At 54.8% G+C, this 23383-nt stretch overlaps 1 protein-coding gene across 14 annotated transcripts in view, besides 6 other annotated features; it reads left to right on the forward strand.

Annotated features, from left to right (window-relative positions):
- Nucleotides 1-23383, forward strand: part of SH2B2 (SH2B adaptor protein 2) — a 36571-nt gene that overhangs the window by 9872 nt on the left and 3316 nt on the right. For 4 of the 14 annotated variants that reach the window (NM_001394426.1, NM_001359228.2, XM_047419779.1 and 1 more), the window contains exons 2-7: nucleotides 5510-6267; nucleotides 11709-11810; nucleotides 13803-13894; nucleotides 19324-19415; nucleotides 19500-19670; nucleotides 22175-22383. In NM_001394426.1, coding sequence (NP_001381355.1) covers nucleotides 5539-6267; nucleotides 11709-11810; nucleotides 13803-13894; nucleotides 19324-19415; nucleotides 19500-19670; nucleotides 22175-22383 — 1395 coding nt within the window. In that variant the 5' untranslated portion in view covers nucleotides 5510-5538. The other 10 variants (NM_001393990.3, NM_001359230.2, NM_001359231.2 and 7 more) reach the window with 5 other exon arrangements.
- Nucleotides 10747-11533: an enhancer, noted in NCBI's record as "H3K27ac hESC enhancer chr7:101949043-101949828 (GRCh37/hg19 assembly coordinates)". NCBI's record gives its function as "activates a minimal SCP1, AML or CMV promoter by ChIP-STARR-seq in naive H9 embryonic stem cells {active_cell/tissue: H9 hESC(naive)}" and the evidence as "EXISTENCE:reporter gene assay evidence [ECO:0000049][PMID:30033119]".
- Nucleotides 10994-11153: an enhancer, noted in NCBI's record as "active region_26424". NCBI's record gives its function as "activates an Ori minimal core promoter by ATAC-STARR-seq in GM12878 lymphoblastoid cells {active_cell/tissue: GM12878}" and the evidence as "EXISTENCE:reporter gene assay evidence [ECO:0000049][PMID:35858748]".
- Nucleotides 12044-12113: an enhancer, noted in NCBI's record as "active region_26425". NCBI's record gives its function as "activates an Ori minimal core promoter by ATAC-STARR-seq in GM12878 lymphoblastoid cells {active_cell/tissue: GM12878}" and the evidence as "EXISTENCE:reporter gene assay evidence [ECO:0000049][PMID:35858748]".
- Nucleotides 13105-13889: an enhancer, noted in NCBI's record as "H3K27ac-H3K4me1 hESC enhancer chr7:101951399-101952183 (GRCh37/hg19 assembly coordinates)". NCBI's record gives its function as "activates a minimal SCP1, AML or CMV promoter by ChIP-STARR-seq in primed H9 embryonic stem cells {active_cell/tissue: H9 hESC(primed)}" and the evidence as "EXISTENCE:reporter gene assay evidence [ECO:0000049][PMID:30033119]".
- Nucleotides 21804-22455: an enhancer, noted in NCBI's record as "H3K4me1 hESC enhancer chr7:101957283-101957934 (GRCh37/hg19 assembly coordinates)". NCBI's record gives its function as "activates a minimal SCP1, AML or CMV promoter by ChIP-STARR-seq in naive H9 embryonic stem cells {active_cell/tissue: H9 hESC(naive)}" and the evidence as "EXISTENCE:reporter gene assay evidence [ECO:0000049][PMID:30033119]".
- Nucleotides 22456-23106: an enhancer, noted in NCBI's record as "H3K4me1 hESC enhancer chr7:101957935-101958585 (GRCh37/hg19 assembly coordinates)". NCBI's record gives its function as "activates a minimal SCP1, AML or CMV promoter by ChIP-STARR-seq in naive H9 embryonic stem cells {active_cell/tissue: H9 hESC(naive)}" and the evidence as "EXISTENCE:reporter gene assay evidence [ECO:0000049][PMID:30033119]".

Below are 23383 nucleotides of genomic sequence, written 5' to 3' on the forward strand. Positions count from 1 at the left end.
ATTCCTCTCTAAGTTCCACTCCCACTCCAGTGAGGGCCACCTGAGACCCACCTGCGAGAGCCTCCCCCAGGGCCCTGTCCCCCATCTCTGTGCCTTCTCCCTACCAAGGGTTCCTCCAGCCAGGAGGAAGAGCTGGGGGCGACAGGGATTGATGTCTAGGACTCGGCACTGGGGCTGACTTCCTGCCTGCCGCTGCCTGCCCCATGTGGGGGCATAATCATCTCACTCAGGGACCCCACACCTACCCTTCCCAGGCTGCCAAGTCACTGGCTCTGAGCCCCCTGGGGGTCCTAATGGTATAGAGAGAGAGGTGGCCACCGTCAGGAGCACTAGCCTACTGGATAAATGGATGGGCTTGGAGCTCAGGGACAGGGTTTCATGGGTTCAGCTGTGGCCCCACCCCCACCCCAGGAAATACCACCCCTGCAGGTCATGGCCTGGGCCTGGGCTCGTGACCTTCCCTGGAGGCCATGGTGGTGGTGGTGGTGGTGGCAGGTGTGTTCCCGTCTCCACCCCTCAGGGAAGAAGCAAGTTCCAGGAGCCTGGACTTTTGCCCTGCGCACTCTCTGTGTCAGATGGGGAGACAGCCATGAGGACAGACACTTGAAGTACCCTATAACTGGCACCATGCAAGAGAGACAGGCAGGAGGAGACTGTGGGAGCTCAGAGGAGACACTTGTGCTGGCCTGGATCAGGGAGAAAGGAGGGGTGTCGGGAGGCTTCCTGGAAGAAGTGGCTTCTGGATTAATTATTGAAGTGTGAGTAGGAGTTAGGGAAGAAAGGAGGAAGCACGGGGCAGGGAAAAGGTCAGGCATGAGCAAAGCTCGTGGGTTCCTCAGTCCCCATCCTTCCCCCACCTTCGTGAACTCTAACCACCACCACCACTACCCAACTGCCAATGTCCTGATAAGTCCTGCCCCCAACTCATTGTTCAGGCCCCCAGCACCCTCTTTATTTTCTTTGCACTCATGAAGCCCAACGCAATAACCACCTCTTGAAGGAAACCTTCCAAACTCCCGACTCCCCTCCCCCAGTACCAAGGCAGGAGTCTCCTAGGAGACCGCTGGTTTGGAAACCTGTCCTTGAAGCTAAGCAGGCTCAGCCGGGAGCCCTGTTCTGTCCCTGGGGCTGTCCCTTGGTTATTGACTGCAGATTGATGGCGAGGTTGCCCCAAGGAGAGAGGGAATTCCCACGGTGCCCTATGGCCCAGAGGCCTCGCAGATGATCTCACAGAAATGGGGCAGCTATTTTTACCTGGCATTTAATTACATGGTTTGGATCCCAGAGGAGAGATGAGATGGTGATCCCAGGAGCTGCGAGGGAGGGGCATTCCGGAAACTGTGGGGACCCTGGGAGGACAGGCGAGGGCATGATCCTCTAACTCATTTCCTTGGAAGGATGGTCGCTTGTCCCCCAACACTAAGCCGGCTCCTTAGACAGGGACTCCCCAGGCACTACATCACCGCACTTTATCACTATTGGTAATTTTCCCCCTGGCTTGGATGGGGGCTGTAAGCACACAGCAGGTTGGACCTGTGTCCCCAGAGGCAATGGCAAGGCCCCCAGGTGATGGGCTGGGCCCAAGCCATGCAGTTTAGCCATCCAGAGCTGTGAAGGATGGAGGGGCCTGGGAATAAGAGGATGAAGCTGGGGTGAGGAGACAGCTGGGATTCCTGGATTGGGGATTCAAAATCGGATTTGAATGGGAATTCTGGGGGAAGCCAGATTCCAGAACGTGGGAATGTAAGTAGAAGCGTGCAGGCCATTGTGATGGAAAGAAGCAAGGTCTTCAATGTCCGTACAAAAACTTGGTCCCTTTAGCCAGGCATGGTAGCTCTTGCCTGTAGTCTGAGCTACTCGGAAGGCTGAGGCGGGAGGATCGCTTGAGCCCAGGAGTTGGAGGCTGCAGTAAACTGTGATCTCGCCACTGCACTCCACCCTGGGAGACACTGCAAGACTCTGTCTCAAAAAAAAACAAAAAACAAAAAAACGCTTGGTTCTTATCCACAGCTTTGCTTTCCAAGGCTTCAGATACCCGTGGTCAACAGAGGTCTGAAAATATTAAATAGAAAATCCCAGAAGTAAACATACAAATACAAATGTAAATTGCAGGCCAGTCTGAGTAGCAGGATGAAGTCTCAAACCATCCCGCTGTTCTGCCTGGGATGTGAATTATCCCTTTGTCTGGCATATCCGCACTCTGGATACGACCCGCTCGCCACTTAGGAGTTGTCTGGGTTATTAGATCCAAAAAAAATGTAGCGGGCCAGGTGCAAGTGGCTCGTGCCTGTAATTTCAGCACTTTGGGAGGCCAAGGCCAGAGGATTGCTTGAACCCAGGAGTTCAAGACCAGCCTCATCAATAGAGTGAGATCCCATCTCTACACACACACACACACACACACACACACACACACACGCAGTATACAGAGGTTCAGTATTAGCCAGTTTCAAGCATCTGCTGGGGTTCTTGGGACATATACCCCTTGAACGAGAGGGAACTACCATATTTGATCCACACTAGGAGGAGACCCCTCAAGTCCTGGAGTCACTGCAGACCTGGGCGAGAACCCTGGACCTGTCTTGTCACTAACAAGCTGTTTGTCCTTAGGCCCCAAGTGAGGGCTTAGGCGGTGACAGCTGTGACATGCCTGGTGTGCCAAACTCATTCATTTGTTCATTCAGTCAGTGTTTCCCAAGCGCCTGCTGTATGCCCAGCACTGAGGACACAGCCGCTTCTAGGACTGGCAAAATCCCTGCCTTGTGAAACTGGCATTCTCGGGGGAAGGGGGTGGAGGGGACACACAACCAAGCAACTAAATATATGATATGACAGCCGGCAATAAGGATAATGGTGAAAATAGGCAGAGTGCATGAACGCATCAGAGGGAGTATTGTCATCAGAGGGATTTGTCATTCTCAAGAGTGGTCAGGGAAGGCTATCCGCCAAGCCATTGGTTGAGCAGAAACCTGAAGAAGGTGAGGGAATGTGGAGGAAAGAGCATTCCAGGCATGTGCAAAGGTCCTGAGGTAGAAATTTGGCTGCTATGCTTCTGGGAGGGCAAGGAGGCAGGTCCAGCCAGGGAAGAGTGGCAGGAGGTATATCCAGAGGGGTAAACAGAGGCAGATTATGTCAGACCCTAGGGGCTGTGGATAGGGCTTTGGCTTTTACTCTGACTGTAATACGAACCACTGCAGGATTTTGTGCAGAGGAGGGATGTGATCTGTCTTGTATTTTGGTTTTGGGTTTTTGTTTTTGTTTTGTTTTGTTTTTGAGTCAGAGTCTCTATCACCAAGTGAAGTGCATTGTCACGATCATAGCTCACTGCAGCCTCCAAATCCTGGGCTCAAGCGATTCTGCCACTTCAGTCTCCTTAGTATCTAGGACTGTAGGCATGCCACCACATCCAGATTGGTTGTTGTTGTTGTTTTTGAGACAGAGTCTTGCTCTGTTGCCCAGGCTGAAGTACAGTGGTGCCATCACAGCTCACTGTAGCCTCAACCTCCCAGGCTAAGGTAATCCTCCTGAGTAGCTAGGACTATAGGCATGTCACCACATTCAGATCAACTTTTTTTGTTTATTTTTTGGGACAGGGTCTCGCTCTGTCCCCAGGCTGGAGTACAGTGGCCCCATCACAACTCACTGTAGCCTCAACCTTCCAGGCTCAGGTGATCGTCCTGAATAGCTGAGACTACAGGTGTGTGCCACCTTGCCCAGCTAATTTTATGTATTTTTTGTAAAGACAGGCTTTTGCCATGTTGCCTAGGCTAGTCTTGAGCTCCTGAGCTCAAGCAATCTGCTCACCTTGGCCTCCCAAAGTGCTGGAATTACAGGCCAATGTGTAAGCCAATGTGCCCGGCCAAGACAATTTTTTTGTTATTACTTTTTCTTTCTTTCTTCTCTTTTTTTTTTTTTTTTTTTTTTTTGAGATGGAGTCTCGCTCTGTCGCCAAGGCTGGAGTGCAGTGGCGCGATGTCGGCTCACTGCAAGCTCCGCCTCCGAGGTTCACGCCATTCTCCTGCTTCAGCCTGTGCCTGCCCCCACGCCCGGCTAATTTTCTGTATTTTTAGTAGAGATGGGGTTTCACTGTGTTAGCCAGGATGGTCTCGATCTCCTGACTTCGTGATGCGCCCGCCTCGGCCTCCCAAAGTGCTGGGATTACAGGCATGAGCCACCGCGCCTGGCTTTTTTTTTTTTTTTTTTTGAGGTGGAGTCTGGCTCTGTCACCTAGGCTGGAGTGCAGTAGTGGGATCTCGGCTCACTGCAACCTCCGCCTCCTGGGTTCAAGCGATTCTCCTGCCTCAGCCTCTCAGTCAGCTGGGACTACAGGCATATGCCACCATGCCCAGCTAATTTTTGTATTTTTAGTAGAGACGGGGTTTCATCATGTTGGCTAGGATGGTCTCAATCTCTTGACCTCCTGATCCACCCGCCTCGGCCTCCCAAAGTGCTGAGATTACAGGCATGCGCCACCGCACATGGCAGTCTTGAGTTTTGGAAATGACTGGGCTCCTGGGAGGAGAACAGACTTTAGAGGAAGTAAGATCAGGATCCCGGGGACCATAAAGCAGCTGCTGGAGTGCTGCATGCAGGAAAAATAGTTATGCGAATCCCAGGACGGCAGCCTGGACCTGGAGGAAGGAGCTGAGTCCTCGGTATATTTCAAAGGTCCAGCCAGCAGGATTCCATGTGATTTCTTCCTTTCTACCGGGCTTTGGGGAACATCAGAAGAGGTCACTGAGGAAGTGAGGTCACCAGAGGCTCATGGGGACCCCACTTGAAAGCATCCATCATCCCAGCCTCTTCTGCCAGCCCCAGGAATGACCCTGAGGTCCCTGAGACTACTATTTGGGGAGAGAATGAATGCAGGACTGCCCCTTCTGCAGACACCACCTCCTGCCTCCCCAGTTGTCTTTCTCTTATTTTTTGCAGTCTCCCTCTGTCGCCCAGGCGGGAGTGCAGTGGCGCAATCTCGGCTCACTGCAACTTCTGCCTCCTGGGTTCAAGTGATTTTCCTGCCTTAGCCTCCGGAGTGGCTAGGACTACAGGCGTGTGCCACCACTCCTGGCTAATTTTTGTATTTTTACTGCAACCTCTGCCTCTTGGGCTCAAGCAGTTCTCCTGCCTCAGCCTTTCGATGGCTAGGGTTACAGCGTGCACCACCACACCCGGCTAACCGGCTAATTTTTGTATTTTTAGTAGAAACGGGGTTTCACCATGTTGACCAGGCTGATCTCGAACTCCCAACCTCAGGTGATCCACCCACCTCGGCCTCCCAAAGTGCTGGGATTACAGGCGTGGGCCACCGCGCCCGGCCCCAGTTGTCTTTCTCTTTACACACATCCATGCTGCTTGGAATGGCTGCCTGCTGTAGTCCCACAACACACACGTGTGCATGTACACACACACCCACACAGCCCCAGAGAGTCCTAGGGGAGCTGGAAGGAGGGGACAGGTGGGCGCATTGATCACAGGCCTGAAAGTCACTGCGCGCTCTTCTCGCCCGAAGCCGCAGGTGGCTGCGATGGGACGGAAGCCATGAATGGTGCCGGCCCTGGCCCCGCCGCAGCCGCCCCGGTCCCAGTCCCGGTCCCGGTCCCGGACTGGCGGCAGTTCTGCGAGCTGCATGCGCAGGCGGCCGCCGTGGACTTTGCGCACAAGTTCTGCCGTTTCCTGCGGGACAACCCAGCTTACGACACGCCCGACGCCGGCGCCTCCTTCTCCCGCCACTTCGCCGCCAACTTCCTGGACGTCTTCGGCGAGGAGGTGCGCCGCGTGCTGGTGGCTGGGCCGACGACTCGGGGCGCGGCCGTGAGCGCAGAGGCCATGGAGCCGGAGCTCGCGGACACCTCTGCACTCAAGGCGGCGCCCTACGGCCACTCGCGGAGCTCGGAGGACGTGTCCACGCACGCGGCCACCAAGGCCCGCGTTCGCAAGGGCTTCTCGCTGCGCAACATGAGCCTGTGCGTGGTGGACGGCGTGCGCGACATGTGGCACCGGCGCGCCTCGCCCGAGCCCGACGCGGCAGCTGCCCCGCGCACCGCCGAGCCCCGCGACAAGTGGACGCGGCGCCTGAGGCTGTCGCGGACGCTGGCTGCCAAGGTGGAGCTGGTGGACATTCAACGCGAGGGGGCGCTGCGCTTCATGGTGGCCGACGACGCGGCCGCGGGCTCCGGGGGCTCGGCTCAGTGGCAGAAGTGCCGCCTGCTCCTGCGCAGGGCTGTGGCCGAGGAACGCTTCCGCCTGGAGTTCTTCGTGCCGCCCAAAGTGAGTTACCCCATAATCCCACCTAGCCTGGGGGGACCAGAGGAGGCACCTGGGCAGCAGCTGAGGGTGCCAGGGACTGCCTTTGGGGACCGCGTGGTCTAATCTGGTTGACAGGGTGAAGTATTTGGTGCCAGGACCCTGGGAGGTGGGCCTGTCATGCCTCTTGAACAAGTCACCCCTTCAACCCCGGTTCTTCCTTTGCGAGGAAGGGTCCTCTGGCTACACCAAAGGGTTCTGGGGCACTAATTTTTTCTTTTCGTGTGTGTGTGTGTGTGTGTCCGTGTGTGTGTGTGTGTGTGTGTGCGCGCGCGTGTGTGTGTGTCCCTCTGTCACCCAGGCTGGAGTGCAGTGGTACGATCTCGGCTCACTGCAACCTGTGCCTCCCAGGCTCAAGGGATTCTCCTGCCTCAGCCTCCCAGGTAGCTGGGATTTACAGGCACCCACCACGATGCCCGGCTAATTTTTGTATTTTAAGGAGAGACAGGGTTTTGCCATGTTGGCCAGGCTGGTCCTGAACTCCTTACCTCAAGTGATCTGCTTGCCTCAGCCTCCCAGTGTTGGGATTACAGTCGTGAGCCACCATGTCCAGCCTTTCTTTCCTTTTTGTTTTGAGACAGGGGCCGTCACTCAGGCTGGAATGCAGTGGTACAATCATGGCTCACTGCAGCCTTCACCTCCCAGGCTCAAGCAGTCCTTTCTTAGCATCCCAAGTAGCTGGGACCACACACACCGCCACTCCCAGCTAATGTTTTTTATTTTTCGTAAAGACGGGATCTGACTATGTTGCTCAAGTGGTCTGGAACTCCTGAGCTCAAGAGATCCTCCCCCACCTTGGCCTCCCAAAGTGCTGGGATTACAAGCATGAGCCACTGTGCCCAGCCCAGGGCACCGTTCTTGATGTTGTTCAAGAGCCTGGCTACCTGCCCTCCTCTCCTGCAGCCCAAGGGTGCCTGGCACCTCCCAGAGCCGAGGCCTGCAGGGATGAGGGCAGGAGTGACCGAGCACATTCGCAGAGGGCTCCCTGGGAGGTCTGTGTCTGACTCCATGGGGCTCTGCTCTTCCCCAGCTCAGCTGCCAGACTCCAGCCCAGCCCCTGCCCAGGGGGTCCTTTTCTGGCCAGGGGGATGCCAGGCTTCTTTCTGGCTGTCACCAACATTGTTGCTCACTGGCATGCACTGACCCTTCCCCTCTTAGGGGCTGGCCATCAGGTCCCTGGCAGTAGTGTCACGTCTTCTCCAAGGTGGCCCCCCTGCTTTGGAAAGTGGGAATAGCTGTAACAATAGTGCCCACCCTCTGAGAGCCCACAGTGTGTCCAGACCCCAGCCTGGTGGGCATCTGCACAGACACACTGTCATCCTCTGGGTACCCCACCCCAGCGAGGTGAGCACATGGTCCCCAGATTACAGAAGAGAGCGCAGACAGATGCTCAGAGAGGGAAGTGTGGCCTGCCCAACGTCACCCAGCTGGCGGGTGCCAGAGCTGGTCTAACATGGCAGGACATGGTGGCGCGCACCTGTAGTCCAAGCTACTTGGGAGGCTGAGGCAGGAGAATCGCTTGAACCCAAGAGGCAGAGGTTGCAGTGAGCCAAGACTGCACCACTGCCCTCTAAGCTAGGCGACAGAGTGAGACCCTATCTCAAAAAACCAAACCAAAACAAAACAAAAAACTGGGGGCCGAGCGCGGTGGCTCATGCCTGTAATCCCAGCACTTTGGGAGGCCGAGGCAGGTGGATCACCTGAGGTCAGGGGTTCGTGACCAGCCTGACCAACATGGAGAAACCCCGTCTCTAATAAAAATACAGGATTACATGCCTGTAATCACAGCTACTTGGGAGGCTGAGGCAGGAGAATCACTTCAACCCAGGAGGCAGAGATTGTGGTAAGCCGAGATCACGCCATTGCACTCCAGCCTGGGCAGCAAGAGCGAAACTCTGTCTCAAAAAAAAAAAAAAATCCGATCTAATGATACCTGCCACCCTGGTGGTCCCAAGAACGAAAGGAACATGGAAGTGGAGGTCCTTGGGCACTGAGAGGTTTAGGCAGGGGGAGGTTTTGCTGGTGCAGCAGCCGACAGCACCCCCAGGGACCACCGGGGACCCCACACCCACCTCCCGCATCAGGGCCCACTCTGTCCCTGGGTGCTCTCTGAGTCACCCGCCGCTTCTTGGCTCTCTCTCCATCTCTCAGTCTGCTGGGGTGCAGGGGTGTGGGCTCCCCAAGGCTCATTGCCCATGAGCCACATGGGCCCTGGAAAAGTGACTTCCCAGGGACACAGCTACTCTCTGAAGAGCTTTTTCCCCAGGTCCCAGCACCCCTACACTTCCCTAGGGCTTTTTTCCTGCCCAGGCCCCTGCCTTTAATTCCCTGGGAGAAATCCTAGACCCCTAAGCCCGACTCCACTCCTTGTCAGAAAGGGAAACCGAGGCCCAGTGACGGGTGGGGTGGGGCTTACCCGGGGTCACCCAGAGGGCAGGGACAGAAGCCCAGGGCTCCAGTGCCTTGGGCCTGAGTGACAGTCACAGCTGCCCTTCTGTAAATAGCAGTGTCTGCTGCCCTCGGAGAAGGGGAAGGAGCAGCTGGTGCCCGCCCCCGCCCCACTCCACCGCTTAGTCCCAGCAGAGCCCACTAATTTTGCTGCTGGCAGAGGGCAGCGTTCCTGCAGGGTCACTGGGCCCTTCCCCTCCTTTGTGTCATGCAAAGGTGGGGGCATTTGTGGGTATTCAGGAGTCATTCCCATGGGAGGGCAGCTCCTACCATGCTAAGAACTTGGTTGAGTTTCCCAAATGTGTCTGGTCCCAGGAGACAGGCTCCCAGGGTGAGTGAGCCCCCTGGGATGCCCTGAATGATACCCCCACTGCCTCTGCACCCACCCACGGTCCAGATCTCTTGCCTCCAAGAGGCCTAGATGCACCCTTGGAGCAGTCAGGAGCTCGGGGCCTGCAGGCTCAGAAGCCATTGCCTGGCACCTTAGATTTCCCTCTCACACAGCCTTTGAGGTGCCAGCCCTGGTGAGTCAGGTCTCTGGCTTCCTGCCTCCTCACCCCTGCAGGAAGAGCCTCCTGAACCCCAGGTCCCCTCATTGCCCTATGCCAGGCCAAGCCCTGGGGACCCAAGGAACAATGAGGCCGGCCCCCCGCCATTAGGGAAACCACTGGGAAACCTGGTATTTTCAAGATGCTTGCAAATCTTACTGGGGTGAGCCCCGGAGGAAAAGCTTGGGCTACCTAAGTGTTCACCAGGTGGCCAGCACCCTGGAACAGCACTTTTGGAGGTTCAAGCTCTGTGGGCAAAGGCCTGGAGTTGTAAACAAGTTGACCATTCAGGCATGTGGGCACAGTGCGTTGTGGCTGGAGCAGGTGGGAGGAAGCTGGACCAGGACTGACGGACCTCAGATTCCAAACTGGGGAACCACAGCATCTCTGGCCAGCAGGATACCTGCTGAAGCTTCCAGTCCAGGCCTCCACTGCAGGCCTCTGTCTGCTCTGTCCCCAGCCCCGCTGGCCGGCACGATGGCCACACACCGGGGTTAGCCAGGCCCCGTTCATGCTTCAAGCCTAGCCCTGCACGCGCTGGACAGGGGCCAGTTCTTCCTGGAATTCCCATCTGCCTGCCCATCAAATGTGTGGCCTTTCCATTTCCTCCTAAGAAAGTTCCTGTCCTGGAGACAGCGCTGCTGGGAATCTCACTCAGGCCAGCCCCAAGGGGGCCTCAGGCTCACGGCAGGGAGCTTTGAGGCAGAGCGAGTGGGGCCAGGCACAGAGTGGCGGTCCCACAGAGCCCTGCCAGCTCACCTTGGATCAACCCTGCCCGCAGCGTTGTTGGGAACACTGGTCCCTTTTACTCACTCCAGGAAACAGTGAGCCCCGTTCTGAGTCGGGGGCTCCAGGCCCTGCTCTGGAAGGTCGGGTCTGTAGTAGGAGACCAGCATTTTTTCTTTAAGCAACCAGGTTTTAAGACCCATCATTTTTTATTTTTTTATTTTATTTTATTTTATTTTATATTTTGAGACAGGGTGTCACTCTGTCGCCCAGGCTGGAGTGCAGTGGTGCAATCTCAGCTCACTGCAACCTCCACCTCCCGGGTTCAAGTGATCCTCGTGCCTCAGCCTCCCAAGTAGCTGGGATTACAGGCACGCACCACCACGCCTGGCTAATTTTTGTATTTCTAGTAGAGATGGGGTTTCATCATGTTGCCCAGGCTGGTCTGGAATTCCTGACCTCAAGTCATCCTCCTTGGCCTCCCAAAGTGCGAAATTACAGGTGTGAGCCACCACACCCAGCCAAGACCAGCATTTTTTAAAACGTGAACTAGAATAGAATAGAAAATATCACACTCTATCCCACACAGGAAGGGTAACTATTGTCTGGTGAGATGTTTGTTTCAGAGATATTTTTACCTGCGTATGTGTGTATTGGGCCCCAGTGTTAAATGTATTTCTCACAATGGGTCAAGGTCAAAAATAAGAAAACCACAGATCTCGTGGGTGCATTGGGCAGAGGGCAGCCCAGGTGGGGTTTTCTCCTCAGGGCTTGGAGGTAGGAGGCTCAGATGTCAATTCTGGTTCTGTCCTGGACTTGCAAGGTGACTATAGGAGGAGGTCCTTTTTTTTTTTTCTTTTTTTTTTTTTTTTTTTGAGGCATCGTCTCACTCTGTCACCCAGGTGGGGGTATAGTGGTGCCATCATAGCTCACTGCAGCCTCGACCACCTCCCCTGATCAAGCGATCCTTCCACCTTAGCCTCCCAAATAGCTGGAACTACAGGCACTCATGCCACCACACTCGGCTAAGTTTTTTGGTCTCTTTTTGTTTCGTTTTTTTTTCTGTGAAACGGAGTTTCATTCTTGTCGCCCAGGCTGGAGTGCAATGGCGCAATCTCAGCTCACCGCAACCTCCGCCTCCTGGGTTCAAGCGATTCTCCTGCCTCAGCCTCCCAGATAGCTGGGACTACAGGCATGCACCACCACGCCTGGCTAATTTTGTATATTTTTTAGTAGAGATGGGGTTTCTCCATGTTGGTCAGGCTGGTCTCAAACTCCCGACTTCAGGTGATCCGCCCGCCTCGGCCTCCCAAAGTGCTGGGATTACAGGCGTGAGCCACCGCACCCAGCCCATTTTTTGGTCTCGAGTAAAGATAAGGTCTTGCTATGCTGTCCAGGCTGTCCTTGAACTACTGGACTCAGGCCATCCTCCTGCCTCGGCCTCCCAAAGTGCTAGGATTACAGGCATGAGCCACCATGCCTAGCCAGGAAAAATTTCTTTCTTGTTTCAAAGAAATGCCTTCCTCAGCTTCCCCCTCTGTGAAATGGGGATTGGGATACCTCTGTACCAGGGTGGCTGTGGCAGTCTATTTGAGGGCCACTCTAACACCTGGCAGCGGGGAGGGGATGGAAAGGGTGTCGGGAAATGCTGGGGCCACTCACTATCCTTCTTCTGGCCCCCAGGCCTCCAGGCCCAAGGTCAGCATCCCACTGTCAGCCATCATTGAGGTCCGCACCACCATGCCCCTGGAAATGCCAGAGAAGGATAACACATTCGTCCTCAAGGTGAGGTCTCACCCCTAACCTCAGAGATCCTCCAGCTGCCCCAGGCCACCTTCCCTTTAGGTGCTACAGCTCCCTAGGGGAGCGAGGGGAAGGAGCCTAAGGCAGGACAGTAGTGGGAGGGAGCCCTGGTGTGGGGGGTTCCCAGACCCTATGACAGATGCCTAGCACATAGCTAAGACTTGAGTCTGGGCTCCACAGCCAGGTGCCTCGGGCGTCGCCCAACATCTGGGCCCCTTGCTCCCATTTACCCCTGGGCCTGGGCGAAGCTCATCAGTTTCACTTCCTGCCCTCCCTTCCCCCACTGGAGCTAGCACACACCCACCTCGCTGGTGGCCAGCCGGCAGCAGTTATGCAAATGTTCCTGTCCCAGGGCACTGGAGTGTGGGAACTGGGCGGTCTCCCACAGAGGGCACAAAGGCATCAAGGGGGGGCGGGGAGGCACCCCGGTGGGTCTAGGGGCAGCCCAGCCTTTCCCAGGCCCCACACCGCTGCCAGGGTGGCCTGCAGGGGTTTCTGAGGACACGGCTCCAGGCTGCCAGAGCTGTGGTCCCTGGGCATCCGCAAAGGATCAGAGGGTGTTGGTGAAGCAATGTCCCCGGGGAGGCCTGGTCCCACCCACTCATCCTGCATGAAGCCCCCACCCTCTTCTCCCAGCTTCTGGTTGTGTTTGTGTTTCTGCCCGTTCTCATTTGTTTAGTCACGGACTCACTTATTCATTTAGCGAGTGTTTACCAACCCCGGACCCTGAGTCATCCCAGGCTGGGGGCTGGGGACACAGCCCCTGCCCACCTGGTACCCTCTAAACTGCTGATCATGCATGACAGCCTTGAGGCAGAGGGGCTCACCTGCCTCAGTTTCCCCATCTGTTCAGAGCGGGATTAAAGGCAGTCTCCGAGAACCCTCCCAGCTCTGTCATCCTGGGAGCCCAACAACTACATTTTTTTTGTTTTTTTTTTTTCTTTGTTTGGAGATGGGTCCCACTCTGTCACCCAGGTTGGAGTGCAATGGCGCGATCTCGGCTCACTACAACCTCCTCCTCCCGGGCTCAGGTGATCCTTCCATCTCAGCCTCTTGAGTAGCTGGGACCAAAGGCACACGCCACCATGCTTGGCTAATTTCTGTATTTTTGGTAGAGACAGCGTTTCACCATGTTGCCCAGGCTGGTCTCGAACTCCTGAGCTCAGGAGATCTGCCCTCCTCAGCCTCTCAAAGTGCTGGGATTACAGGCGTGAGCCACCGCGCCCGGCCCAGCAACTGCATTTTGACAGAGGCACACCACCGGAAGCCAACAGCACGGGACCTGGGTGTCCCAGAGACCTGGGTTCAGGCCCTGGCCCTGCCACTGGCTGCTGTGTGACTTTGACCAAGTTCCTTGGCCTCCCTGAACCTTGGTCTTCTCATCTATAAAATGGGGGAAATGGCTCCTCTCCCTCACAGGGCCGTTGGGAGGAGTTGAGCAGAATGCAGGGTTATGCTCTGGGCCTGGCCCCAGCAGGGATGTCTCCTGCCCTCTTCCCCTTCAGAGGCTTCGTATCTCAAGCGCATGGCCATGCCGGTAGAACTCCAGGCACTAAGACATGCAAGCCCCCCTACTCAGTGTGCTTGGCCAGCCTGTCTCTCCACTCAACTTGAACCCCACCCCTGGGGTGCCAGGGCATGGGTTGGGGATGCTGGGCCACCCATCCCTCCCCCTGCCAGCATGGCCTCCTCAGAGGCTGTGTCTCTAAGGCAGAGGAGCTGAGATCAGTGGGGTGGGACATATCCCCAGTGGGGAGGCCCAGAAGGGAGGGAATACAGAGTGTGAGCTGGGTCCCTGGCCTGAGTTCCAGGTGGTGCCCGATGGTGACCCCACTTTCTTTCCTGCTGCTCATGCCCTTGAGCCCTGCTGTGGGAGAGGGGGATCAGCCATTTGAGCCACTCTGACCCTATGTCCTGTGGTCTGGAGCCCATCTGCTGACCGTGTTCTGCACTCCCGGCCACCTTCCTCCCCAGGTAGAGAATGGAGCCGAATACATCTTGGAGACCATCGACTCTCTGCAGAAGCACTCGTGGGTAGCTGACATCCAGGGCTGCGTGGACCCCGGGTGAGTGTCCAAGTGGCCCGAAGATGGGTGGACAGGCTGGGTATATCCTTGGTCCAGCCTTCACCAGGAGCAGCTTCCTAGCAGGGCGGGAGCTCAGCTTGAGAAATGAGCAATTCAATGCGATTCAGGTTGGTGCCAGCCAGGATCACCCTCCTTTAAAATACCCCCTACCTCCAATCGCCAGCAGACTCTGTGAGGCCTGCTCTATGGGGCCAGGGCCTGGGGACCTGGAAGGAAGTTGGACCAGGTCTTGTCTTCACCCCAAGAGAGCCTCAGAGCACTGGGAGTTGGGCAGAGATGGCAGTGAGTCCCCAAAGGGCTGGGGGCCTGGTGCAGTGGCTCACATCTGTGACCCCAACACTTTGGGAGGCCCAGCTGGGAGGACCGCTTGAGCCAGGAGTTCAAGACCAGCCTGGGCAACATAGCCAGACCCTCTCTCTCTCTCTCTCTTTTTTTTTTTTTTTTTTTTTTTGAGACAGGGTTTTGCTCTGTTGCCCAGGCTGGAGTGCAGTGGTGTGATCTTGGCTCACTGCAATCTCCGCCTCCCAGGTTCAAGCAATTTTCCTGCCTCAGCCTCCTAAGTAGCTGTGATTACAGGCGCCTACCACCATGCGCAGCTAATTTTTATATTTTTAGTAGAGACGGGGTTTCATCATGTTGGCCAGGCTGGTCTCGAACTCCAGACCTCAAGTGATCCGCCCAACTCAGCCTCCCGAAGTGCTGGGATTACCGGCATGAGCCACTGTGCCCAGCCAACCCTGTCTCTTAAAATAAAAAAAAATAGAGAGAGCTGGAGAGAGGCTCCTAACCCAGCCCTGGGCTCAGGTCAGGGAAGAGTTGCTGTTAGGCGTGCTCACCTAACCCAAGGCTTAAATAAAGAGTGGACCAATGCCAGGCAGAGGAAGATGGGAGAGGGCAGAGAGAAAAGCCCAGCAAAAAGAGTGGAAATGGAACTGGGCACGGTGGCATGCATCTGTTATCCCAGCTACTCAGGAGGCTGAGGCTGGAGGATCACTTGAGCCCAGGAGTTGGAGGCTGCAGTGATCTAGGATTGCACCACTGCACTCCAGCCTGGGCAACAGAGCAAGATCCTAACTCTTAAAAAATAATAATAAAAATTTGGCCGGGGCCAGGCACAGTGGTTCATGCCCATAGTCCCAGCACTTTGGGAGGCCGAGGCAGGCGGATCACCTGAGGTCAGGAGTTTGAGACCAGCCTGGCCAACATGGTGAAAACCCATCTCTACTAAAAATACAAAAATTAGCCAGGCATCGTGGCGGGCATCTGTAATCCCAGCTACTCGAGAGGCTGAGGCAGGAGAATCGCTTGAACCCGGGAGGCAGAGGTTGCAGTGAGCTGAGACTGTGCCATTGCACTCCAGTCTGAGCGACAGAGCAAGACTGTCTCAAAATATTAATAATAATAATTTTAAAAGGTGTGCAAGTGTACAAGCACCTGGGACTCGCAGGGAACATCAAGGCCTTTGGGGTAGCCAGTGAGGAGGAGATTTTGATGAGAGCTCAGGAAACGGGTAGGTCAGGGACAATGGGAGCCATGGCAGGTAATAGGCAGAGGGCAGTTACGGTCAGCTGTGAACAGGAAGAGCAGCAAGAAGGTTGGCTCCACCATCCAGGAGAGATGCCAGGCCAGGAGTAGGAGGGATAGGCAGCCCGACAGGCTGAGCAATTGGCAGCAGCTCTGCTGGCTAATGGGGTGAGCCAAGCCCCGGGGGGAAGGGCCGCTGCTTTCTAATTAACAGCTTCATTTAAAGAAACACAATTAAGGTCCTGGGCGCCTCCCAGGCCCTGATCCACAAAGTGATTGTAATCCCTCCTCCACCGCCCTCCGGACCATCTGCTCTGCAAACTCTTTCCCCAGCCGCTGTGAAGGTGAACCTCACTTAGTGGAATTTTCGAGCTGGCAGGGTCCCAGACACCTCATGTCACAAATCGGGAGAGAAACCTTCCCACCCTCTGAGGGTCTGCACGGGATCCCAGGAGGAGCCCAGCCCCTCAAGGATAGTGGGCAGGGATCATGGGCCCTCAGTGGGGACTGTCCACTCAGTGGTATCCGGGCCAAGAGAGAGCCTTCCCCTGGGCTTTCTGAAGTTTCAGTGGAAAATCAATTTGCAAATGGCAGATAAATGAGAGAAAAGGCATACAAATTTATTTATTTATTTTTATTTTATTATTTTATTTTTTAGAGGTAAGGTCTTGCTCTGTCACCCAGGCTGGAGTACAGTGGTGCAATCAAGCTCACTGCAGCCTCGACCTCCTGGGCTCGACTGATCTGCCTGCCTCAGCCTCCCAAGTAACTGGGACTGTAGGCACATGCCACGATGACTGGCTTAATTTTTTTTTTTTTTTGAGATGGAGTCTCGCTCCATCATCCAGGCTGGAATGTAATGGCACAATCTCAGCTCACTGCAACCTCCACCTCGCAGGTTCAAGCAATTCTCCTGCCTCAGCCTCCCAAGTAGCTGAGATTATAGGCACCTGCCAACAAGCCCAGCTAATTTTTATATTTTTAGCAGAGACGGGGTTTCCCCATGGTGGTCAGGCTCGTCTCGAACTCTTGACCTCAGGTGATCTGACAACCTCATCATCCCAAAGTGCTGGGATTACAGGCGTGAGCCACTGCAACTGGCCTTTTTTTTTTTTTTTTTTTTTTTAGAGACGGGATCGGGATCGTGCTATGTTGTCCAGGCTGGTCTTGAATTCCTGGGTTCAAGAGACCCGCCTGCCTCGGCCTCCCAAAGCACTGGGATTACAGGCATGAGCCACAGTGCTTAGCTGCACAAGGCAGATTAATAGGAGAAAAAGCATGTAAATTTATTTAACGTGTATACATAGGAGCCTTCAGAATGAAGACTCAAAGATACAGGGGAGGGCTGGGCGTGGTGGTGCACGCCTGTAATCCCAGCACTTTGGGAGGCTGAGGCAGGCACATCACCTGAGGTCAGGAGTTCGAGACCAGCCTGGCCAACATGGGGAAACCCCATCTCTACTAAAAATGCAAAAATTAGCTGGAGGTGGAGGCGGGCCCGCTGTGATCCCAGCTACTCAGGAGGCTGAGACAGGAGAATTGCTTGAACCTGGGAGGCGGAGGTTGCAGTGAGCTGAGATTGCACCACTGAACTCCACTGGGTGACAGAGTGAGACTCAGTCTCAAAAAAAAAAAAAAAATCCCAGGCATGGTGGCTCATGCCTGTAATCCCAGTACTTTGGGAGGCCGAGGCAGGCGGATCACGAGGTCAGGAGTTTGAGACCAGCTTGGCCAACATGGTGAAACCTCATCTCTACTAAAAATACAAAAATTAGCTGGGCCTGGTGGTGGCATGCACCTGTAATCCCAGCTACTTGGGAGGCTGAGGCAGGAGAATCACTTGAACCTGGGAGGCAGAGGTTGCAGTGAGCCGAGATCACACCACTGCACTCCAGCCTGGGCAACAGAGGGAGACTCTGTCTCAAAAAAAGGATACAGGGAAATGGTCCATTTTTATGCTTAGGTTCAGCAAAGTATGGACAGCAGTGTAGAAAGAGGATTGGATACAAAGGGTAGGATCTAAAGGGAATAGACTGAGCAGGGGACCCAGCCAGGCCTGTCTGTCCAGATTCTTCTTGGCCTCTCTGAGTAGCATTCCTTCCTTCTGGGTGTGGGACAGAACCCTATCTTGAATGGGGGTCTTATGACCTACAGTCAAACCAGGCAGATTGGGTAATTTCTTTCTTTCTTTTTTTCTTTCTTTCTTGCTTTCCTTTCCTTCTTCCGTTTCTTTCTTTCCTTTTGTTTTTACTTTTTTTTTCTGCTCCGTTGCCCAAGCAGGAGGGCAGTGGGGCATGATCACAGCTCACTGCAGCCTCCAACTCCTGGACTCCATTGACCCTCCTGCCTCACCACCACGCCCAGCTAATTTTCTTTTATTAAGATGAGATTCTCAGGGCCGGGCGCGGTGGCTCATGCCTGTAATCCCAACACTTTGGAAGGCCAAGGTGGGCGGATCACCTGAGGTTGGGAGTTTGAGATCAGCCTGGCCAACATGGAGAAACCCCATCTCTACTAAAAATACAAAATCAGCCGGGCGTGGTGGTACATGCCTGTAATATCAGCTACTCGGGAGGCTGAGGCAGGAGAATTGCTTGAACCCCCGGGAGGCAGAGGTTGCAGTGAGCCAGGATTGCGTCATTGCACTCCAGCCTGGGCAACAAGAGCAAAACTCTGTCTAAAAAAAAAAAAAAAAAAAAAGACGTGTTCTTGCGGCCAGGTGCAGTGGCTCACGCCTGTAATCCCCACACTCTGGGAGGCCAAGGCGGGCAGATCACCAGTTTGAGACCAGCGTGGCCAACATGGTGAAACCCCATCTCTGCAAAAAATACAAAAAAAAAAAAAAAATTAGCTGGGCATGGTGGCGCATGCTTGTGATCCCAGCTACTCAGGAGGCTGAGGCAGGGGAATCACTTGAACCCGGGAGGCAGAAGTTGCGGTGAGCTGAGATCGTGCCACTGCACTCCAGCCTGGGTGACAGAGCAAGACTCCCATCTCAAAACAAACAAACAAACAAAAAAGATGGGGGTCTCGCTATGTTGCCCGAGCTGATCTCAAACTCCTGACCTCAAGTGATCCTCCCACCTCAGCCTCCCAGAATGCTAGGATTACAAACATGAGCCACTGTGCCTGGCTGGATAATTTCTTTATGACAAGTTTTTACATAGAATATTTTTAGGTTGGCCGGGCGCAGTGGCTCACGCCTGTAATCCCAGCATTTTTGGAGGACGAGGCAGGCAGATCACGAGGTCAGTTTGAGACCAGCCTGGCCAACACAGTGAAACCTCATCTCTACTAAAAATACAAAAAAATTAGCCGGGCATGGTGGCAGATGCCTGTAATCCCAGCTACTCAGGAGGCTGAGGCAGGAGAATCGCTTGAACCCAGGAGGCAGAGGCAAAGTGAGCCGAGATCGCGCCACTGCACTCCAGCCCTGGCAACAGAGTGAGACTCCGTCTCAAAAAAAAAAAAAGAATATTTTTAGGTTTTATGACTACGTTTTGGGAAAAGGGGTTCTGGTTTCTGTGACCCACCTTGGGAAAAAGGGACTTTTGTTTCTCTGGTGCCTCTGGGGAGAAGAGGACTGAGAGACAAGTAGGCAGGAGAAGGTCAGAGAAAAACTTTTTTGTTCGAGGCTGCTGCTGAGGACTTTGTTTTGCGGTATTGTTTTCTGAGCCCCAACAGTGGCCTGGTCAATCACACGGTGGCCACAGAGCCAGTGTAGGGTGGGACAGAGGGACATGGAGGCAGAGGGAGGTGACCAGAGCCAGGAGGCCTAGATGCTGGGCCATGGGACTGCCAGCCACTGCCTGGCCACATAAGTAGCCTGTGGTCCGAGTCCAAGTCCCACGGCAGGACATGGTTTCCATTTCTTGTCTCCACAGTGACAGTGAGGAAGACACCGAGCTCTCCTGTACCCGAGGAGGCTGTCTGGCCAGCCGCGTGGCCTCCTGCAGCTGTGAGCTCCTGACTGATGGTAGGTAGGGGGACAGGGTTGAAGGAGGGGCACACTCAGGGTGGACAGATAAAGATACGTGCATCTTACCTGCCACTTCCCCAGCAGTCGACCTGCCCCGCCCCCCAGAGACGACAGCCGTGGGTGCAGTGGTGACAGCCCCCCACAGCCGAGGTCGAGATGCCGTCAGAGAATCCCTGATCCACGTCCCGCTAGAGACCTTTCTGCAGACCCTGGAATCCCCGGGCGGCAGCGGCAGTGACAGCAATAACACAGGTGCCAGTGGGGACAGCCTGCTCTTCCCATCCCACCTCTCCTGGACCCCCACCCCCAGCCATGGCCACCCATGGGCTCCCTAAACCTTGCTAAGCCTCAGAAGCTGTGACATCTCATCCTCCTGGGTCCTTCACACGTCTCCGAAGTACTTCTGGCTTTTGTAGACTGGTCTAGGAACCTGGCCCCTCCCACTGGACCCAGTTTCAATAGAAAATGTTCACAGGGGCCGGGTGCGGTGGCTCACGCCTGTAATCCCAACACTTTGGGAAGCCAAGGCGGGCGGATCACCTGAGGTCAGGAGTTTGAGACCAGCCTGGCTAACATGGCAAAACCCCGTCACTACTAAAAATATAAAAATTAGCTGGGTGTGGTGGTGCACACATGTACTCACAGCTACTCGGGAGGCTGAGGCAGGAAAATCACTTGAACCCGGGAGGCGGAGGTTGCAGTGAGCCAAGATCACGCCACTGCACTCCAGCCTGGGCGACAGAGTGAGACTATGTCTCAAAAAAAAAAGAAAGAAAAGAAAATGCTCACAGGGGCTGGGTGCAGTGTCTCACACCTGTAATCCCAGCCAGTGTTTTTTGAGGCTGAGGATCACTTGAAGCCAGGAGTTTGAGACTAGCCTGGACAACATAGCAAGACGCTATCTGTACAAAATTTTTGAGACAAGAGTCTCACTTTGTTGCCCACGCTGGAGTGCAGTGGCGGATCACAACTCACTGCAACCTCCACCCCCAAGTCCAAGCAATTCTCACGTCTCAGCCTCCCGAGTAGCTGAGATTACTGGTGCCCGCCACCTCGCCTGGCTCATTTTTGTATTTTTGGTAGAGATGGGGTTTTGCCATGTTGGCCAGGCTGATCTTGAACTCCTGCCCTAAGTGCTGGAATTATAGGTGTGAGCCACCACGCCTGGCCACAAACATTTTTGTGCCTGTAGTCCCAGCTACTTGGGAGGCCGAGGTGGGAGGATCACTTGAGCCCAGGAGGTCAAGCCTACAGTGAACTGTGATCACACCATTGCACTCCAGCCTGAGCAACAGAGAGAGACCCTGTGAAAAGAAAAAAAAAAAAAAAAAAGAAAAGAAAAGAAGAAAGGAGGGAGGGAGGGAGGGAGGGAAGGAAGGAGCTCACAGAAAAGGGTCCATAGGGTTGGAATCAGGGATTGGGAACAGGCGACTGGATTTGTTCCTAAGTTTGCTGATGACTTACAGAGTAACTCCAGGATAGTCCTTCACAGCTCTGTGCCTCAGTTTACCTCATAGACTTCACCAGTGGGTTGGGTCAGCTCCCTGCCCAACTCTAAAATTATTCCAGCTGGGCACAGTGGCTCATACCTGTAATCTCAGCACTTCAAGCAGCCAAGGCAGGAGGATCGTTTGAGCCCAGGACTTCCAGACTAGTCTGGGCAACAAGACTCTGTCTCTACAAAAAATAAACAAAAATTAGCCAGGCATTGTGGCACAGGCTTATAGTCCTAGCTACCCAGGAGGCTGAGGTGGGAGGATTGCTTGAGCCCAGGAGGCCAAGGCTGCAGTGAGCTATGATTGTGCCACTAGACTTCAGCCTGGGTGACAGAGCAAGACCCTATCTCAAAAAATAAATAAATAAATAAAATTATTTGGCTGGGCGCAGTGGCTCACACCTGTAATCCCAGCACTTTGGGAGGCCAAGACGGGCGGATTGCCTGAGCTCAGGAGTTAAGACCGGCCTGAGCAACATGGTGAAACCCTGTCTCTACTAAAAATACAAAAATTAGCCTGGTATAGTGGTGCATGACTGTAATCCCAGATACTTGGGAGGCTGAGGCAGGAGAATCACTAGAACCTGCAAGACGGAGGTTGCAGTGAGTCGAGATCACGCCACTGCATTCCAGCCTGGGCAACAGAGCAAGACTCTGTCTCAAACAAAAAAATATTCAGGCCAGGTGCAGTGGCTCACACCTGTAATCCCAGCACTTTGGGAGGCCAAGGCAGGAGGATCACTTGAGCCTAGGAGTTTGAGACCAGCCTGGGGAACACAGCAAGACTCCATCTCTAAAAAATAAAAAATAAGGCTGGGCGCAATGGCTTACACCTATAATCGCAGCACTTTGGGAGGCCGAGGTGGGTGGATCATCTGAGGTCAGGAGTTTGAGACCAGCCTGACCAACACAGTGAAACCCCATCTCTACTAAAAATACAAAAATTAGTTGGGTGTGGTGGTGGGCGCCTGTAATCCCAGCTACTCGGGAGGCTGAGGCAGGAGAATCGCTTGAACCCGGAAGGCAGAGGTTACAGTCAGCCACCGGGATTGCAGCATTGCACTCCAGCCTGGGCGACAAGAGCGAAACTTCGTCTCAAAAAAAAAATAAAAACTAAAAACCAACCAACTTTTTAAACATTATTCCAACAGCATTTTGCATGTAAAAAAACCAACAAGACGTCACCTCTCTTCTCACATTTATTTATTTGTCCCCCTTTCTCCTTCCCCCCATGTTCCTCACACTGTCATCCCCACCTCAGGGGAACAGGGTGCAGAGACGGATCCCGAGGCTGAACCCGAGCTGGAGCTATCCGACTACCCATGGTTCCACGGGACACTGTCCCGGGTCAAGGCTGCTCAACTGGTTCTGGCAGGGGGGCCCCGGAACCACGGCCTCTTCGTGATCCGCCAAAGTGAGACTCGGCCTGGGGAGTACGTGCTGACCTTCAACTTCCAGGGCAAGGCCAAGGCAAGTGTGTGGGGGGCGCCATGGGGGTGCAGTGGCCAGCCCTGAGGGAGAGGGGTCATGGTGACCCCGGTCCTGAGGCTGTGCCCTGGAAGCAGCTGCAGGCGAACAGGTGTGGCATGACTTCCCACGGGCCCCACTCACCCCAGCCATGCTCCGTGAGCCACCTGCGTCCCTCCTACACATCACTGAGGGACTGCAGTCAGCCCTATTTCAGCCTCTGCATTCTCCAGAAGGGGAGGCCACCTACTGGCGGCTGAGCCCTCAGGAGGCTGGGCCCTTCTAATAACCCAAATTTGCAAATCCTTTCAGCTCCTGCGCGCGGGGGATCTCATAGCACTGGAGCTTCGGAGGGTCTCCACCCAGAGATCGCCCAGTGGGGGGTGGGAGCCAACCAAGGCCCTCAGAGCCCCACCTTCTGCCCCACCGACCTCAGACAGCCCCTCTTCCCTGCCCAGGTTAGGTCACCAACCCCTGAGGAACACACACGGGCAAACCCTAGAGACCCAGCAGGGGAGGAGGAGCTGGGCTGGGTGGGAGAGCTGTGCAGGGTCTAGGGGGTGGGGTTCAGCATTGGAGGGGACAGCCTGATCAGAGACCTGCAGGGGAGGGAGAATTGTGGAGGGGAAGACAGTCAGGAAGGCGATCCCAACAGCACCCAGCTGGATCAGAGGCATGATGGTACACCCAGGCGGTGTGCTTTCAAGGAAGAGGATTCCTTGCTATATTGACCTGAAATGCTTTGTTTTTGTTTTTGTTTTTTTTTGAGACAGTCTCGCTCTATCCTCCAGGCTGGATTGCAACATCGCAATCTCAGCTCATTGCAACCTCCGCCTCCCGGGTTCAAGCGATTCTTGTGCCTCAGCCTCCCAAGTAGCTGGGATTACAGACACGTACCACCACACCTGGCTAATTTTTGTATTTTTAGTAGAGACAGGGTTTCACCATGTTGGCCAGGCTGGTCTCAAACTCCTGACCTCAGGTGATCCACCCACCTCAGCCT

Source organism: Homo sapiens, chromosome 7 (genome assembly GCF_000001405.40).
Source record: "Homo sapiens chromosome 7, GRCh38.p14 Primary Assembly".
NCBI classification, from domain to species: Eukaryota; Metazoa; Chordata; class Mammalia; order Primates; family Hominidae; genus Homo; species Homo sapiens.